This window comes from Homo sapiens, chromosome 19 (assembly GCF_000001405.40).
Source record: "Homo sapiens chromosome 19, GRCh38.p14 Primary Assembly".
Taxonomy (NCBI): domain Eukaryota; kingdom Metazoa; phylum Chordata; class Mammalia; order Primates; family Hominidae; genus Homo; species Homo sapiens.
Genome location: NC_000019.10, coordinates 50,402,850 through 50,418,903, shown reverse-complemented (window position 1 = coordinate 50,418,903; position 16,054 = coordinate 50,402,850). Strand labels below are relative to the sequence as shown.

Here is a 16,054-nt window from a genome sequence, read left to right as displayed (position 1 = left end):
GCCCAGCCCCTGCCGGGGGGAGGAGGGTGCCCGCTGGCCACAAGCTCGGCCCTCCTCAAAAATCCCCTCAGGGAGGGGGTCAGGGGAGGGGGCTGGATTGCACAACCCCTTTGTCACATGGCAGGGATGGCGGGCCAGGGGCTGTCTGGATTTGGGGATCCCCGTGGGGCTGGGTTTGGGGGGCTGACCTTGAGGGCTGGAGATGGGACAGGAGCTGGATTTGGGGGAACCCTGAAAACATCGAGGAAGGGCTGGGGTTCACTGAAGAGGAGAATCAGGAAACGGAGGATCTGGACCCAGGAGCCGAATTCCAGCAGGGGCGGGCTGGGGGCCGAGGGGCAAGCACAAGACTCTCCCCGGGGGATGTGTGAGGTGACGGGAGGGCCGAGGGCATCTGACGGCAGTTAGAGGCTGCGGGGATAGAGATGGGAGTCGCTGGGGGGAAACCCAGACCCAAAGCCCATTGCCAGGACCCCGACGTGGAAACATCGTGGGTGTGTGGTCCGGCGGGGGATGGGGGGGTCCCCTTGGCCGGGCTGAGGAGTGGAAGCCCCGGTGCGCCTGGGGCTGCCCCAGGGCCTGGAGGAAACAGGTCAGCACCTGGAGGGCGGGGCAGCCACCAGGGTCCCCAGGGTCATCACCAGGGAGGGCTGGGCCGGGGCCAGACACCTGGGGGCCCTAAGCAGGGCAGAGAAGCGCTGGTATAAGGGTTCCTTCAGGGCCAGAGAGGAAACTGAGGCAGGCTTGGCCCACATGAACCAGGCAGCACAGGTGGGAGTCCGGGGGCTTTTGCTGAGGATGAGGGGCGGTGCGGGCCTCAGGAGGGTCCCAGCCAAGGCCAGGGCTTATGAAACCAGACAGTGTCCCCCAGAGACCACAAAGCACCATATAGCAAAAGTCCAGAACTTTATTAATTCTCCCTGGTCCCGCCCCCGCCCCATGGGATGCTTGCAAGGTCACCAGGCCTCAGGTCCAGGGGGTCCGAAGCGCCGCAGGAGCTGCTCCTGGTCTTCCAGGTCCTTCCGCACCTTCTTGCGCATGTAGAAGATGGGGCAGTCCCGGCTGCGGGTGGGGGCAGGGGCAGGGTCAGGACCAGCCAAGGCCCAGTGCCCAGCCTGGGAGAGGGGTGGGGGCTGTTCCCAGGACTTTGGTCCCCGCCTGCTGCCCAGCCCACCCGCCCCCTCCCGCAGCGGGCTGTTTGCTCAGCAGGCACGGGGGGGGTGGGGGGGGGGAGCCGATAACAGCGGGTGCCTGGCGAGGTGCAGGGCCATGGCTGGCCGTATATCACCTGTCACCTGGCGTGGGAACCCACCCCGCCTACCCGTTCCCTGGGGAAAGCCCGGCCCCGCCCTGGGGAGGGGGCCAGGCTGGCTGGGTGTGTCGGGAGGACAGCCGTTTCCCGGGCAACACTGGGTGCCGGGCGCTGCCTCCCTAAGCACCCACCCCCTCTGGGGGGCTGGGATGGGCCCATTTTTCAGACAAGGACACTGAGGCTCAGGACAGCTCACAGCTGGAAGGGGATGGGCGGGGAGGATGCTCAGGAGAGGCCTTGGAGTCAGAGGTTGGGTCCACAACCCACAGGCCTGGGAGCTGGGAAGGGGCGGGGCAGCCCAGGGTCGGGACATGGCACACACCTGGTGCAGATGACGTCCTCGTGCAGGCTGCCCTGGCAGCGCTGGCACTGCGTCCAGAGGCGCGAGAAGCGCTCCTCCAGGGCATTCAGATGGGATACCTGGGGACGGCAGCGGCTGAGCAGGGCGCCCCCGCCTCCCCACCTGGCCCCTCCTCACCTCCCGGCCCTCTCACCTCCTTCTGATACAGCTCAGACTCCCGGGGCTGGCAGAACTCACACACGGCTCCTGTGGGGAGGCGGGTCAGCCCAAGTGCTGGGGCCCAGCCAGGAACTGGGCCACCCCATCCCTGCCCACTGCCAATCCCAGCTTCTGAAAGTCCCCAGAGGCTGGAGAACAACGGAGCAAGTGTGCTGGGAAAACTCCCCTGGGGAACTCCCGGGGTGGGGGCCGAGGACCCTCTGTGGGGGGTGGAGACAGGGGCCACCCACCCAGGGGCCCTGGGCCCACTGGGTGGCAGTGCCAGCCGATGGGGTGGGTGTCTAGGATCTGGGGTGACGGCAGAGCAGGTTGAGGGCCAGTGGGGGCCCAGTGGCCAGGGCCGCTCACCCTGGTGGCTGAGCACTGTGCGGCAGCCAATGCAGCAGTTGCGGCGTTTGGCGAAGGCCAGGAGGCCGCCCACCTTGCCCGTGAGCACCGTCTTGCAGCGCGTGTGGTCCCCCCCTGCAGGAGAGGAGGCAGGTGGTGGGCCGGTGATCTCCTCTGCCCCCCCAGGGTGCCCCCAGTCCCCTGGTGCCCCCGTACGCAGTAGCACAGCCTCGGCACGGCCCTCGCCCAGGATGGGCTCGAAGATGCGCAGGAGGGGCTTGGCCAGCTGCTGCTCCAGGTAGTACTGCGTGTCAATGGGCAGGCTGTGCTCCAGCACGAACAGCGGGTCCTGCGGCCACATGGCAGTCACACCCGGGCAGCCAGGGAAAGGGCACCGGGGTGGACACGGGGTGGTCATGGGGCCTGGGGCTTAGGGCCTAGGCCTGCCTGCGGGCTGTGACATGGGGGGGGCCTGGGTCTGGGATGGGGTCGGAGGTCACGGAGTCTCTGGGCCACAGAGTCTGTAGGGCTCTCAGGTCACCACGGAAGGGTCAGAGTTCACAAGGGGAAGCAAGGATGAGGAAGGGGTCAGGAGGTCAGAGGTCATGGGGCTAAGATGTGGGTCACTGGGGGTGGGGGTAGAGCTGGAGGATTATGAATCCAAGGGAACCCCCGGCTGGGGAGCTGTATGCACAGGGGAGGGACTGGGGCCCCTTCCATAGGGAAGCAAGGGAGGGGTCAGAATAGAGGGGGGACCTCCAGAGGGGGCCGAGGCCACACCCAGGCTGCCATGGGGGGCGGTTCTCAGGGCCCCACAGGGCACGGGAGGCCCCACCCTTCCCGCAGGCCCGCCCATCTCGGAAAGCAGAAGTGAGAGCGAGGGGGCTGGGCGGGAGCAGGCAGCCAGGTGGGCCTGACCTCCGACTTCATGTAGGCGGCCACACCCTTGGCGGCACTGATGATCACGTAGGGGACGCGGTCGCCCAGGCTGGGCGCACTCCCGGGGTCCCGCTTCCTCATCCTGCGTGGAGATGGGGTGGCGGGTGGGTGAGGGCAGGTGGGTGGCGGGGGTGGGGGCGAGGGTGTAGGAAGTGGGCCCAGCTGGCAGGAAGGAGGGGGTTATTTCTGGCCAGGCCACCCGCCCCGCGCAGGACCTCTCGGCCAGCTCCACGTGGGCCTGCTTGCCGGCATAGTCGGAGGCCGCGCGGGTCAGCTCCTTGGTGATGACCAGCTGGGAGATATCGATGCGGTTGCACAGCAGGTCCGAGATGACGTCCTGTGCGTGAGCCACCGCGCCCTCAGGGTCTCTGTAGGAGAGCGGGCCGCACAGCGTCACCAAAAGGCACTGAGGGCCAGGCTGGTGCCTCCACGGGTCTCAGGGCTGGAGACCAGGATGAGCTCTTAGGGCTGAGGCTCAGGGCAGAGAGGGGCCCTTCCTACCATAGGCTGCAGAGTGGCAGAGGCAGGGCCTGAACCCACAGCTGCCCAAGCCGACTCTTTCCACTGCTTCACCACCGAGGAAGAGCTGGGCCTGACACCTGTGTTCCCAGAGGAGGAGGGGCTGGGGGTCTGGACTCTTGTATCTAAGAGAGGAAGGGGCTGGGGGCCCTGACCCCGGGATCTGAGGAGGAGGGGGCTGGGGGCCTGGACCCGTGGGTCTGAGGGAGGAGGGGCTGGGGCCTAGACTCCTGGGTCTGAGGGAGGAGGGGTTTGGGGCCCAGCCCCCTGAGTCTGAGGGAGGAGGCCCCACACACCGGTCGATGAGCAGGCGGCGCAGTGAGGCAGTGACCAGGTTGGCCACGAGGGGGCAGTTGTCCCTGCGCACGGCCTCCAGGCCCTTGCAGTCCATGCGGTCGTGGGCGTCGGGCCGGGAGGAGAAGAGCAGGCCCGCGTAGCGCTTCTTGCTGATAAGCAGGTATGGGAAGTAGACCTGGGAGGGAGCCATGGCCAAGACCCTGAGCCTGAGGAGGCCAAGCCCCAATCTGGAGACGCCCCCCAGAAACTGAAGGTAGACAGGGTCCCAGACGCAGTTTGAGGACATGGGAGCCGTGCCCTGAGCCTGGTGGGATGGACCGAGACACTGTATGGCTGGAAGTGGCTCCTGAGGCCCCTCGGCAATGCCAGAGCCCCCACACCAGAGACCCCAATCTGAAACAGAGACTGGGATAAATCCAGATAGTCCCTAAAACATGAGATCCAGACAGGCGAGTCGATGAAGCATCCCATGAAAGAGAGGAGAAACTACGGCTGGGTGAGCCCTGAGGCAGAGACCTCCCCACTCTGCGAGGCTCCAAGTCCAAGGCCTGGCACGAGAGAGCGTTAAGCCACGGGGAAACAGTACAGTGTGAGAACTGGGCGTGGCGGCTCAGGAGGCCAAGGCGGGAGGATCGCCGGAGCCCAGGAGTTGGAGGCTGCAGTGAGCTGTGAACTCGCCACTGCACTCCAGCCTGGGCGACAGAGCGAGACCCAGACTCTTCAAAAGAAAATATGGTGCAAGGTTTCCTGGGACCAAGTGTGCCGCACTCAGAGGGCCAGGGGCAATGGTGCACAGATCTAAGGTGCACCCCCATCAGGGTCCCTGCGTGGAGGGCAGCTCCACATCTGACAGGTACTGGGAAACCTCAAAACCAGGGACACTGTGACACCTCAAAACCAGGGACAGCGACAGGGTTTTCAAAGAACAGATGCCATCCAGGGTAACAAAGCCCAAGGCCTTGGAGGCTTCCCAAACCAAGGCCCCAGCCTCAGGAGAATCTAAGCAGCAACATCCCTTCACACTGTGGCTTTTGTGAACCCAAAGAACGGGACACCCTGAGTACCCTGATGAGGGCACCTAAATGCAGAGCCCCTGACCCAGCCACGCACCTTCTCAAACTCCAGCCGGATGGGCGACGGGAAGTGACCTGACACCCAGTCCGCGGCCTCCCGCCCCAGGGCCATCGCCTCAGCCACCGAGGACACGCCGAATCGGCACATGACGGAGTCAGTGTCACCATACACCACCTGCGGGCGGTGGGGATGTGTGTATGTGAGAAGCAGGGTCCCTTCTGTCAACTACTGGTGTCGGGGGGTGGCAGGTGGCTAATGCCAACGGGACCCAAGGATGCAACAGGAGAGTGGGCAGGGTGTGACCAGGAGGCACGGGGACATGGGGGTCCGGCCCGGCTTCCATCCCCCCACCTGCCCTGGGCCCATCTCAGGGCAGCGGTGGGCAGCCCCCGACCTTGGCACTGGTGCTGTAGCCATTCTCCACTGTGTACTTAGACTCCACCAGCTGCTTGGTTTTCTCGATCATCTGACGTCCGAACCCCGTGACGCTCTGTCGGGGAGAGAATCATGCGGAGTGAAGCCCTGGGGGCCATGTGCAGTGAACGTGGGCCGGCGGGGGAGGGGTCCCGCCTCTGCCATTTCCCAGTGGCATAGGCTTATGTACAAGCCACTCTGCCCCTCCTGGGCCTCAGTTCCCAAATCTGCAAAATGGGACTATAAGGCGGCTCCTCAATGGTCAGGTGGAAAGAAGTGGGTTCCCTGGCTCAGAGTTCTGGACATGCACAAGGAAGTGACTACATCAAATGCATGCTGGAAAGACTGCGGCCTGAAGAGGCCACTGGCCCAGTGTTTCCCTCACACTGACATTCTGGGCAGCTCTCTATGGTACAGGACCACCGACATAGCCAGCCCCATCCCTGGAAGCCAGCAGTGCCACCCCCATCCCTGTACCACCAGAACTGGCCCTACCTACACATTGACAAATGCCCCCCAGAGCAGGGGGTGGCACCACCCTGACTAAGAAACCATTGAGAAACCCACTGTCTTATTTTAGAGTTAAGAAAACTAGCTGGCGTGGTGGCTTATGCCTGTACACCCAGCACTTTGGGAGGCTGAAGTGGCTGGATCACTTGAGGTCAGGAGTTCGAGATCAGCCTGGACAACATGGTGAAACACCATCTCTACTAAAAATACACACACACACACACACAAAACTAAAAAATACTTAAACAACAACACCACCACCACCACCACCACCACCAAACCTGAGGCTGGGGGTGGGGACACCAAGGAGAGATGGGTGTGATTCTTCTGTTTTTGTTTGTGTGGATCCAGTCAGGAAATCTGTCTAACTAGAGCATTTTGTCCATTTACATTTAGTGTAATTACTGATATAGCTGGGCTTACGTCTACCACTTTACTGTCTAGCTTTTACTTGTTCCACCTGTCCTATGTTCCTTTTTCTTTCCTTTGTAATCTTTTCCTGAAATGATTCAATTTTTTTTTTTTTTTAAGAGACAGGAGGCCAAGCGTGGTGACTCACACCAGTAATCCCAGCACTTTGGGAGGCCGAGGCAGGTGGATCACCTGAGGTCAGGAGTTCAAGACCAGCCTGGCCAACATGGTGAAACCCCGTCTCTACTAAAAATGCAAAAATTAGCCAGGCATGGTGGCGGGTGCCTGTAATCCCAGCTACTCAGGAGGCTGAGGCAGGAGAATCACTTGAACCCGGGAGGGAGAGGTCGCAGTGAGCCAAGATTGTGGCATTGCACTCCAGCCTGGGTGACAGAGCAAGACTCCATCTCAAAACAAACAAACAAAAACTAAAAGAGACAGGGTCTCAACTCTGTCACCCAGAATGGAGTGCAGTGATGCCATCACAGCTTACTGTAACTCAAACTGCTGGGTTCAAGCCATCTTCCCGTCTCAGCCTCCTGAGTAGCTGCAACTACAGGCATGAGCTACCACAATGCCTGGCTAGTTTTGTTTGGTTGTATTTTTTGTAGAGATGGGGTTTCACTATGTTGCCCAGGCTGGTCTTAAACCCCTGGCCTCAAGTGATCCTCCCTCCTCAGTGTCACAAAGTGTTGGGATTACAGGCGTGAACACTGTAATTCATTACTTTTTTTTTTTTTTGAGACGGAGTTTTGCTCTGTTGCCCAGGCTGGAGCGCACTGGCGCAATCTCGGCTCACTGCAACCTCTGCCTCCTGGGTTCAAGCGATTCTCCTGCCTCAGCCTCCCGAGTAGCTGGGATTAGAGGCACCTGCCACCACTCCTGGCTAATGTTTTGTATTTTTAATAGAGACAGGGTTTCACCATGTTGGCCAGGCTGGTCTTGAACTCCTGACCTCGTGATCCGCCCGCCTCGGCCTCCTAAAGTGCTGGGGTTACAGGCGTGAGCCACCGCGCCCAGCCAATTCATTGCATTTTTATTATTCCACCTCTTGCTCCCATAAGCTTGAGAGACAGAAATAAGGAAAGAGGTCAAGAGACAGAAACAGAACAGTGACAGAGGGAAGCGGCTGAGAGAGAAAAGACAGAGACACAGGATTGGTAAGAGGCAGCCCCAGGGGAGGGCCAAGCTGTGCTCTCTTGGCCTGGCCTCTGCTTCAGGGCTAGAGCCTGATGTCCACACAGCCACCCCTTTCCACCAAGGAGGCTGGGGAGGCAGCCGGGGACTGTGAAAGGCAGAGGGGAGTTGGGAGCATGCAGTGAGCGATTCACTTTGTGCAAAGAAAGGTCTGGCTCTTGCCTGGCTCCTGGTAGTCTAAGCCCCTAGAATATCCCGCCTGATAACAGTGTCTCTGTTCCAGCCTGGGCAACATGGCGAGACCCTATCTCTACAAAAAATAACAAAAATAGGTGGCACGTGCCCGCAGTCCCAGCCACTTGGGAGGCTAACGTGGGAGGCTCACCTGAGTCCCGGAGGTTGAGGCTGCAGTGAGCCACGATTGTGCCACTGCGCTCCAGCCTGGGTGAGAGAGTGAGACTCTGTCTCAAAAAAAAAAAAAAAAAAGGTGTTTGTGTACCTGGGACTTTGAACCACACCAGGTAGTTGACACTAACATGGTTTATGGTAGGGCCCTGGGCCATGCAGTATCAGTTTGACCTCTGGGGGTTGCTGAGGGGCCTGGGGATGATGGAGTCACTAAGGCCAGTCACAGGGTGCTCCATGCCTATAGGACTGACACCCAAGAAAAACCCTGGACCCCAAAGCTTGGGTGAGAGCCTCTGGTTGGCAATGCTGCATGTGTGCAGGCACGCATCAAAACTGGGAGGAAGGAGGGCCAGCCTGGCAACTCTACTGGGAGAGCACAACTGGAAGACACGCCTGGTCCCTCCTATACCCTGCCCTGTGCACCTCTTTCTTTTGCTGAGTTTAATCTGTGTCCTTTTGCTGTATTAAATCATAACCATGAGAACCAGCTTTTCTGCTCTCTGAGTACTTCTAGTGAATCACTGAACCTAAGTGGTCTTTGGGACCCCCAGAACTGCGGGTGGGTGGGTGTGTGCAAAGGCCCCACCCACTGAGAATTCATCCAAGCCTTCCACCCAGAGCCCTGTGAAAAGTGGCGCAGTGCCCAGCCAGAGAGGGAGCTCCCCGTGGCTAGAGGTAACCAAGCAGAGCAGCACAACTACTGGCCTGGAATGGGCCAAGACTCAAGTCCCAGGGGAGAAGGCTGGACAGGAAGACCCTTCCGAGGCCCTCATATGCCAGGAGCTGGGGCACTGACCCCAGCTTGGCAATCTCGGAAACTCAGGCCCTCTGTGGTTTCAAAGAATCTGTTTTTCTGTTCAAGCAGCAGAGCTGCCGTGGGTAGGCAGACCGGGACGCTGCCGTGGGGACGGTGAATGGCTTCCCTCCCCACGTCCCTTGGCCTCTGTGTGAGCGTCGCCTATTGAGAGGGGTGAGTCCCGCCCAGCCCCATCACTCCCCGACAGTCCGCACCTCCTGCTTTATCCGGCTGCAAAGCTCGTAGCGCCACTTGTGTCCTAAACACGTTTACACAGACCTGTCAGTGTCCCCACTGGGCTGCAAGATGACAGGGACAGGAGCTCTCATCCATTTTGTTCCCCTCTGTATCCCCAGGGCACAGAGTGAGCCCTGACCACAGTGTGTGCTCAGTAGGCATTTGCTGAGTGAAGGAATGGACCAATTGCTCAAGCCACATTGGCATCCTCTCTCTAGAAGGCCAGTGAGTTGGGGTGCCCAGTCCTCTGGATACAGGTCCCCCACATGGAGCCCTGGTCTCCTACACAGGGGGCCCACCTGCCCCCAGTTGCCTTCCAGGGGCCCGAGTGCCCACCTGTGAGATCTCCAGGCACGGCAACTTGCCCACCTGGGCGCCAGTGAAGCCGTATACGGAGTTGGCGCTCACCTTCAGCGCCAGCTGCCGTCCATCCAGGACCTGGCGCCGGAGGGGGTCTGTCTCCTTGGCCAGCTCGGCCTTGGCCCTGCGAGGGAACACGGGGAAAGCACACTCAGGCGGCACCTGGGCATTGGTCAGGGCTCCTTTCTGGAAGTGAGTGCCATGTACGGTTGGGCGTACTGTGCACTGCACAGAAGCTTCTGGCCAAGGGGGCAAAAGGAAGCTGCCAGGAGGGGATGCCTTGTGCTAATTCACGCACAGCTGAGGGCAGGGTGGCTGGGCAGCCCTGGGGTGTCCCAGTGAGGGACAGGGATTGCCCAGAGGCCCCAACAGGTCTGAGCTCCAAGCAGGCGATCTCCAGGGCTCACCTCTTCCGGGCACTGAGCAGGTTCTCCAGGATCTGGGGCAGCAGCCCCTTCCGCACTGAGGTCTTCACAAACTCGTCCCCGGTGGGGGTCCTGATGAACTGATCCTCAGTCAGGCTGGGTTGGAAGATGTTGGGGTGACTGCCGGCCACCCTCCTGCTCCAGCCCACCTCTGCCCTACGGTCCTGGCCTTGGCCATGAGCACACGCAGGCCCCTCAAGCACCCCTCCACTCCCTACTATCTCTGGGCCTGTGCCTATGCCCCCCACCAGACTGAGCCCCCCAAGGGAAGGCCCAGATGGGCCTCGGGGGACACATGCTGAATTGGGCACTATACCCCAGTTTCTGTGCAGTCCCGGGCCGAAGGAGCGTGGTGTAACACAGGTTGTGGGCCATCATGATGGACGGGTACAGCGAGGAGAAGTCCAGGGTGGCGATGGGGACGTCGTAGTACCTGGGAGGGGAGCAGCCGCGGCCGGGAGTCAGGGCTAGGAGTTCCCATGCCGCCCCCGCCCTGTCTTGTGGCCTCACCCTTTAAAAAAAAAAAATCATTCATTGGCTGGGAGCAGTGCTCGCTCCTGCAATCCCAGCACATTGGGAGGCTGAGGCAGGAGGATCGCTTGAACTCAGGAGTTTCAGATCAGCCTGGGCAACATGGCAAAACCCTATCTCTACAAAAAAATTTTAAAAATTAGCCAGGTGTGGTGGTGCACGCCTGTGGTCCCAGCTACTCAGGGGCCTGAGGCAGGAGGATTGCTTGAGCCTAGGAGGTGGAGTAAGCCAAGATCATGCCACCGCACTCCACCCTGGGTGACAGAGTGAGACCCTGTGTCAAAAAAAGAAAAAGAAAAAGAAAAATAATATATATAATTAATCTACTATTTTATTTTATTTTATTTTTTTTGAGACGGAGTCTCGCTTTGTCACCCAGGCTGGAGTGCAGTGGCGCAATCTCAGCTCACTGCAACCTCCACCTCCCGGGTTCAAGCGATTCTTCTGCCTCAGCCTCCCGAGTAGCTGGCACTGCAGGCGCCCGCCACCATGCCCAGCTAATTTCTGTATTTTTAGTAGAGACGGGGTTTCACCGTGTTAGCCAGGATGGTCCCAATCTCCTGAACTTGTGATCCGCCTGCCTTGACCTCCCAAAGTGCTGGGATTGATTACAGGGGTGAGCCACCGTGCCTGGCCTATTAATTTATTTTAGGGCCGGGGTGTTGCTCTGTCGCCCAGGCTGGAGGGCAGTGGCGCAATCATCGCTCACTGCAGCCTCCACCTCCTGGGCTCATCATCCTCCCAGCTCAGCCTCCCAAGTAGCTGGGATTACAGGCATGCACCACCACGCCTGGCTAATTTTTAAAAATTTTTTCGGCCGGGCACGGTGGCTCACGCCTATAATCCCAGCACTTTGGGAGGCCGAGGCAGGTGGATCACGAGGTCAGATCGAGACCATCCTGGCTAACACGGTGAAACCCCGTCCCTACTAAAAATGCAAAAAAAAAAAAAAAAAAAAAAATTAGCCAGGCGTGGTGGTGGGCGCCTGTAGTCCCAGCTGCTGTGGAGACTGAGGTAGGAGAATGGCGTGAACCCGGGAGGCAAAGCTTGCAGTGAGCTGAGATTGCGCCACTGCACTCCAGCCTGGGTGACAGAGCGAGACTCTGTCTCAAAAAAATAAAAATAAAAATAAATAAAAATAAAAAAATTTTGTGGAGCAGGGGCCTCGCTATGTTGCCCTGGCTGGTCTCAAACTCCTGAGCTCAAGTGATCCTCCCACCTCAGCCTCCCAGAGATTACAGGTAAAAACTGCACCCAGCCTGGGGCCTCACCCTTTGAGGGGCTCGATGACAGTGGCTCCCGTGTAGTCCTCGCCGCCCTCTGACTTCACCACGGGCATCAGCAGCCCCTCGTGCATGGCCTGGGAGGGGAGAAGGTGGGAAATGGAGTGGGTATAGGTGGGGCCGTGCGGATTGGGAGTGGGGAGAAAAAGTGCATCCAGGATGCCATTGCCTGGAGGGGGCCACAGACGTGCCTGGTGGGGGGTGGCGAGGACAAGTCTCGGCTACTGACCTGCCGCAACAGCTGGGATACGACCTTGACCTGCTGGCCACGACTGAGCAGGTAGCTGAGGGGCACGCCAGTGACCCTCGCCATCTCCACGGCGTTCACCAGCACCATGAGCCGCTCCAGCAGCCGCAGTGGCAGGTAGGCATCCTTCAGGCAGTACACAGCCAGGCGGCGGCGGGTCTGGTCGTTCCCATTCTGGGGATGGGCACGGATGGGGTCAGGGACCAGGGGTTGGGGGTGGGAGGTGGAGCAGGAGAAGGAAGTGGGGGTCAGGGTGAGGTAGCCTGGGGAGGGCCTGGGAGGTGAGGCGGGCAGGAGGGCCCTCCAAGTCGTCAGGGTCTGGGTGGGGATGGAGGTAGGGTTGGGGGCCAGGGAGTCCACAGGGCCAGAGGGAGGAGGAGGGAGCAGCCTGAAGGCCACCGTGGACCTGTGGTCAGGCCAGGAAAGCAGAGACAAGGTCATAGTGACAGAGGTCACAGGAGTGGAGAGAAATCTGGGGTCAGAGGTCAGGAAAAAGTGGGCGTCAGGTAAGGTCACAGGTCATAACAGCAGGTCAAAGAGTGAGGTCAGACGTGGGGGCGTGAAGTTGAGGTCAGAGGCCGGGGAAGGGTGAGGTGGAGGTCAGAGGTTGGGGTGAGAGGTCAGGGAGGCAGCAGGCACCTGCAGGTCGGTGATGATGCTGTGCTGCACGTCCTCCTTCTGCTCGCCCAGGAAGTGGAAGCTCACGGCATTGAGCGTGTAGGAGCGGAGCTTGTACTCCCGCAGCAGCACCTAGGTGGGTGGGTGGGCTGGTGGGCTGCGGGCCTGGGCAGTGGCCTTCCAAGGACAGGGACACACCCCACCTCCCGCCCATACCTGCAGCATGTCCATCTGCACGCGGCCCACCATGCTGACAACCTTGGTGTCCCGCCGGCCCGTCTGCTTGGACTGGAATGAAGAGTCCCGGATGTTGGAGCAAAGGCCGGCCACACGGCCCAGGAAAGGGAATGTTTGTACCTGAGGAGGAGAGGCAGGGTGTGCAGCAGGCTGCGGGTCCCCGTCACATAAGCCTGAAGAACGGAGATTGAGACCAACCACAACATCCTTATAACAACCCTAGGGGGTCGAGAGCAACCCTGGGGGCAGAAAGACGGTCTGGGGCTGGGTGTGGGTGGCTGGAGACTGGGGAGGGAGTCCGGAGTAAGGACTAAGCTGCAGCCAAGGCTGGGATAGCGAGAGTCAGGGGCCCTGATGGACTGGGGGCCAAGGATGGAGCCCAGTGTCTGCGGGCTGTACCTAGGCAGGAAACAGGAAGAGATTTGGGGACACTGTGAGCAGGCGGCCAGGTGGGGGCAGAGGCAGGAGGCGGCGTGGAGCTGGGCTGAGATGGATGCTGAGGGCGCTGGAGGGCGCCTGGCTGCAGGAGGCCTTGCAGGGTGCTGGGGCCCAGCCTGGGGGAGACTGAGGCCAGAAGAAGCCTGAGCTGGGGACAGGGCAGAGGGTGAGGGACACCCAGGGAAGGGGAGGAGGAGTACCATGGCCCGGGCATCAGCGCCACGCTGTGGAATATACACTGGGGGTCCTAAGAGTTTGTTCTGTATTTTAGAATGGATTTTTTCTTGTTTTCTCTTTAATAGAGGCAGGGTCTTGCTATGTTGCCCTGGCTGGTCTTGAACTCCTGGGCTCCATCGATCCTCTCGCCTCATCCTCCCAAAGTGCTGGGATTAGAGGCGTGAGCCACCACACCCAGCCTGTTTTGTTTTTCCATTACCAAGCTGGCCAGACATAGAGAAAAGCAGGAAAATAAGGCAATATATCTCATTAAGGGCTGAACCATGTTCTCCCAAAAGATGTTGAAGCCCTAACCCCCGGCACCTCAGAATGTAACCTCATTTGGAAATATGTCTTCGCAGGGGGTCAAGTGAAGATGAGGTCACTGGGGTGGGCCCTCACCTCACGACGGTGTCACTACACAAAGAGGACATGTGGGCTAGGTGCACTGGCTCACACCTGTAATCCCAGCACTTTGAGAGGCTGAGGTGGGCAGATCACCTGAGGTGAGGATGGAGACCAGCCTGGCCAACATGATGAAACCTAGTCTCTGCTAAAAAAAACAAAAACAAAAACAAAAATAGGCCAGGCGCGGTGGCTCACGCCTGTAATCCCAGCACTTTGGGAGGCCGAAGTGGGCAGATCACCTGAGATTGGGAGTTCGAGACCAGCCTGGCCAACATGGAGAAACCCTGTCTACTAAAAATACAAAATTAGTCGGGCATGGAAGCGGGTGCCTATAATCCCAGCTACTTGGGAGGCTGAGGCAGGAGAATCACTTCTACACCCCAGCGCCCCCTGGGAGGCGGAGGTTGTGGTGAGCCAAGATCGTGCCATTGCACTCCAGCCTGGGCAACAAGAGCGAAATTCCATCTCAAGAAACAATAACAAAAAAGCAAAAATTTGCGGGGCGTGGTGGCTCACGCCTGTAATCCCAGCTACTTGGGAGGCTGAGGCAGGAGAATCGCTTGAACCTGGGAGGTGGAGGTTGCAGTGAGCCTCGATCGTGCCATCGCACTCCAGCCTGGGCGACACAGCGAGACTCTGTCTCAAAAAAAAAAAAAAAAAAAAAAGAAAGAGAAAAGGGGTTGGGTGCAGTAGCTCACGCCTATAATCCCAACACTTTGGGAGGCCGAGGCAGACGGATCACAAGGTCAGGAGATCAAGACCATCCTCGCTAACACAGTGAAACCCCGTCTCTACTAAAAACACAAAAAATTAGCCAGGCGTGGTGGCGGGCGCCTGTAGTCCCAGCTACTTGGGAGGCTGAGGCAGGAGAATGGCATGAACCTGGGAGGCGGAGTTTGCAGTGAGCCAAGATTGCGCCACTGCACTCCAGCCTGGGCGACAGAGCGAGACTTTGTCTTGGAAAAAAAAAAAAAAGGGAGGACATGTGGAAACAGACACGCACAGAGAGAAGACGGTGTGAAGAGGCACAGGGGGATGATGGCCGTCTGCAAGCCAAGGAGAGAGGCCGTGAACCAGTCCTCCCTTGCAGCCCCCGAAGGAAGCAGGCCCGCTGACACTTTGGTCATGGACTTTCCAGCCTTCAGGACGGTGAGACAATGACTTTTTGCTGTTTTCAGCCACCTGGTCTGTGGCTCTTTGTTACAGCAACTCGGGCAGAGGAATCCACCCTTACACACATGCAGACTCAAGAAGCATCCGGAATTTGCCCCATCAGTCAACACACTCCCCCCTCCTCCTCCATTATGATTCTTTTCCTTATGCTGATATAACCTAAAGGAAGACTGGGATTCAGTGGCTGCTTCATGGCTTGTTGAACCCCTGCAAGCTTCAGGCCGACCTTGAATGCACAGCCTTCTCTTACTCCACCGTAACGCCCTCCTTGCCTCTGATAAAAGCCACAGTAACTTTTTCGACTTGGAGCAGGGCAGGACCAGGCCTAGGCTGCCCCTGCAGGCAATCGGCTGAGGCACACAGAGCAAGATGCACCAAGCCATGTGGAGAGGGAGTGGGAAGGAGGCCCAGGGCCCGGAGGCCACACCTGGGGCATCTGAGAGAAGCCTCCCACCTGCCCAGCCCTCACCTTGAGGGTCTGGGCCCGAGAGATGAGGTACGGAAGGTCGAAGTTCTGGATGTTGTAACCGGTGATCACGTCGGGGTCCATGATACGGATGAAGGTGGACCAGGCCTGGGGGTGGGAGCACATTGGGTCACCCTGGTGGTTGCCCTGCCTCGGATTCCCCTACTTCCAGAATGTTCTAGAACCCCAGCCACCCCTGAAAATCCTGCAGAACCCAGAGGGGAAGTGCTCAAGCCTAATTGCACAGGGGCCCACCCAGACCCACAGACACCCACCCAGACCCACAGACATGGGCGTCGCAGCACCCAGGAGCTGATGGCTCAGGACGCGGAGGCTGGCGGGGACCCCGGGAAATGGTGTGGGGCGTGGAGCGAGAGCTACCTGCAGCAGGTCCTCCTCCTTCTCGTAGCTCTGCACCTTGGCACCCAGGATGGGGGCACAGGGCCGCAGGGTGAGCGCCAGGCGTAGGAAGGGCTCCGGCTCCCCCCAGCGCAGGCCCAGCGAGCAGATCTGGATGACAGGGTCCCGCTCAGGCTCAGGGAAGATGCCTGCGAGGCAGGAGGATGCAGGGGCCTGACTCCTGCCCCTCACTCCCAACACAGCAGGGAGGCTGCACCTGCCATCTCCCCGGGGCTGTCCCCGCTGCCTGCCGGCCCTACGTGGCTCACCCTGGCTCCTGCTCTGCTCTCACCTCCAGGCCATCTCCACACCCTCTGTGCTCACTCCATCTGGCCACATGGGCTGGGGTGCT

General features: G+C 59.6%; 1 protein-coding gene across 14 annotated transcripts in view, besides 12 other annotated features; it reads right to left on the bottom strand.

Moving 5' to 3' along the window:
- Nucleotides 659-827: a silencer, noted in NCBI's record as "fragment chr19:50921334-50921502 (GRCh37/hg19 assembly coordinates)". NCBI's record gives its function as "represses an EF-1alpha promoter that drives an FKBP-Casp9 reporter gene in an ReSE screen in HepG2 liver carcinoma cells, and both phorbol 12-myristate 13-acetate-treated (for megakaryocytic differentiation) and untreated K562 erythroleukemia cells {active_cell/tissue: HepG2 | K562 | K562(+PMA)}" and the evidence as "EXISTENCE:reporter gene assay evidence [ECO:0000049][PMID:32094911]".
- Nucleotides 886-16,054, bottom strand: part of POLD1 (DNA polymerase delta 1, catalytic subunit) — a 33,696-nt gene continuing 18,527 nt past the window's right edge. For 3 of the 14 annotated variants that reach the window (XM_047438947.1, NM_001256849.1, XM_011527038.2), the window contains 19 exons: nucleotides 15,685-15,851; nucleotides 15,307-15,411; nucleotides 12,582-12,722; nucleotides 12,387-12,497; nucleotides 11,730-11,921; nucleotides 11,489-11,577; nucleotides 10,003-10,119; nucleotides 9,669-9,782; nucleotides 9,238-9,385; nucleotides 5,383-5,478; nucleotides 5,025-5,162; nucleotides 3,914-4,089; nucleotides 3,314-3,466; nucleotides 3,078-3,180; nucleotides 2,376-2,508; nucleotides 2,181-2,294; nucleotides 1,807-1,859; nucleotides 1,635-1,732; nucleotides 886-1,062 (listed from right to left, as the gene is read on the bottom strand). In XM_047438947.1, coding sequence (XP_047294903.1) covers nucleotides 957-1,062; nucleotides 1,635-1,732; nucleotides 1,807-1,859; nucleotides 2,181-2,294; nucleotides 2,376-2,508; nucleotides 3,078-3,180; nucleotides 3,314-3,466; nucleotides 3,914-4,089; nucleotides 5,025-5,162; nucleotides 5,383-5,478; nucleotides 9,238-9,385; nucleotides 9,669-9,782; nucleotides 10,003-10,119; nucleotides 11,489-11,577; nucleotides 11,730-11,921; nucleotides 12,387-12,497; nucleotides 12,582-12,722; nucleotides 15,307-15,411; nucleotides 15,685-15,851 — 2,354 coding nt within the window. In that variant the 3' untranslated portion in view covers nucleotides 886-956. Of the gene's footprint in view, nucleotides 1,063-1,634; nucleotides 1,733-1,806; nucleotides 1,860-2,180; nucleotides 2,295-2,375; nucleotides 2,509-3,077; nucleotides 3,181-3,313; nucleotides 3,467-3,913; nucleotides 4,090-5,024; nucleotides 5,163-5,382; nucleotides 5,479-8,879; nucleotides 8,964-9,237; nucleotides 9,386-9,668; nucleotides 9,783-10,002; nucleotides 10,198-11,488; nucleotides 11,578-11,729; nucleotides 11,922-12,386; nucleotides 12,498-12,581; nucleotides 12,723-15,306; nucleotides 15,412-15,684; nucleotides 15,852-16,054 lie in introns of those variants that run through there. The other 11 variants (XM_047438949.1, XM_047438948.1, XM_047438950.1 and 8 more) reach the window with 6 other exon arrangements.
- Nucleotides 1,110-1,169: a silencer, noted in NCBI's record as "silent region_10966". NCBI's record gives its function as "represses an Ori minimal core promoter by ATAC-STARR-seq in GM12878 lymphoblastoid cells {active_cell/tissue: GM12878}" and the evidence as "EXISTENCE:reporter gene assay evidence [ECO:0000049][PMID:35858748]".
- Nucleotides 1,200-1,339: a silencer, noted in NCBI's record as "silent region_10965". NCBI's record gives its function as "represses an Ori minimal core promoter by ATAC-STARR-seq in GM12878 lymphoblastoid cells {active_cell/tissue: GM12878}" and the evidence as "EXISTENCE:reporter gene assay evidence [ECO:0000049][PMID:35858748]".
- Nucleotides 2,491-3,275: an enhancer, noted in NCBI's record as "H3K27ac-H3K4me1 hESC enhancer chr19:50918886-50919670 (GRCh37/hg19 assembly coordinates)". NCBI's record gives its function as "activates a minimal SCP1, AML or CMV promoter by ChIP-STARR-seq in naive H9 embryonic stem cells {active_cell/tissue: H9 hESC(naive)}" and the evidence as "EXISTENCE:reporter gene assay evidence [ECO:0000049][PMID:30033119]".
- Nucleotides 2,491-3,299: a biological region, named in NCBI's record as "H3K27ac-H3K4me1 hESC enhancer GRCh37_chr19:50918886-50919670".
- Nucleotides 2,540-2,599: an enhancer, noted in NCBI's record as "active region_14986". NCBI's record gives its function as "activates an Ori minimal core promoter by ATAC-STARR-seq in GM12878 lymphoblastoid cells {active_cell/tissue: GM12878}" and the evidence as "EXISTENCE:reporter gene assay evidence [ECO:0000049][PMID:35858748]".
- Nucleotides 2,870-3,029: a silencer, noted in NCBI's record as "silent region_10964". NCBI's record gives its function as "represses an Ori minimal core promoter by ATAC-STARR-seq in GM12878 lymphoblastoid cells {active_cell/tissue: GM12878}" and the evidence as "EXISTENCE:reporter gene assay evidence [ECO:0000049][PMID:35858748]".
- Nucleotides 3,210-3,299: a silencer, noted in NCBI's record as "silent region_10963". NCBI's record gives its function as "represses an Ori minimal core promoter by ATAC-STARR-seq in GM12878 lymphoblastoid cells {active_cell/tissue: GM12878}" and the evidence as "EXISTENCE:reporter gene assay evidence [ECO:0000049][PMID:35858748]".
- Nucleotides 3,276-4,060: an enhancer, noted in NCBI's record as "H3K27ac-H3K4me1 hESC enhancer chr19:50918101-50918885 (GRCh37/hg19 assembly coordinates)". NCBI's record gives its function as "activates a minimal SCP1, AML or CMV promoter by ChIP-STARR-seq in naive H9 embryonic stem cells {active_cell/tissue: H9 hESC(naive)}" and the evidence as "EXISTENCE:reporter gene assay evidence [ECO:0000049][PMID:30033119]".
- Nucleotides 3,276-4,129: a biological region, named in NCBI's record as "H3K27ac-H3K4me1 hESC enhancer GRCh37_chr19:50918101-50918885".
- Nucleotides 3,700-3,879: a silencer, noted in NCBI's record as "silent region_10962". NCBI's record gives its function as "represses an Ori minimal core promoter by ATAC-STARR-seq in GM12878 lymphoblastoid cells {active_cell/tissue: GM12878}" and the evidence as "EXISTENCE:reporter gene assay evidence [ECO:0000049][PMID:35858748]".
- Nucleotides 4,010-4,129: an enhancer, noted in NCBI's record as "active region_14985". NCBI's record gives its function as "activates an Ori minimal core promoter by ATAC-STARR-seq in GM12878 lymphoblastoid cells {active_cell/tissue: GM12878}" and the evidence as "EXISTENCE:reporter gene assay evidence [ECO:0000049][PMID:35858748]".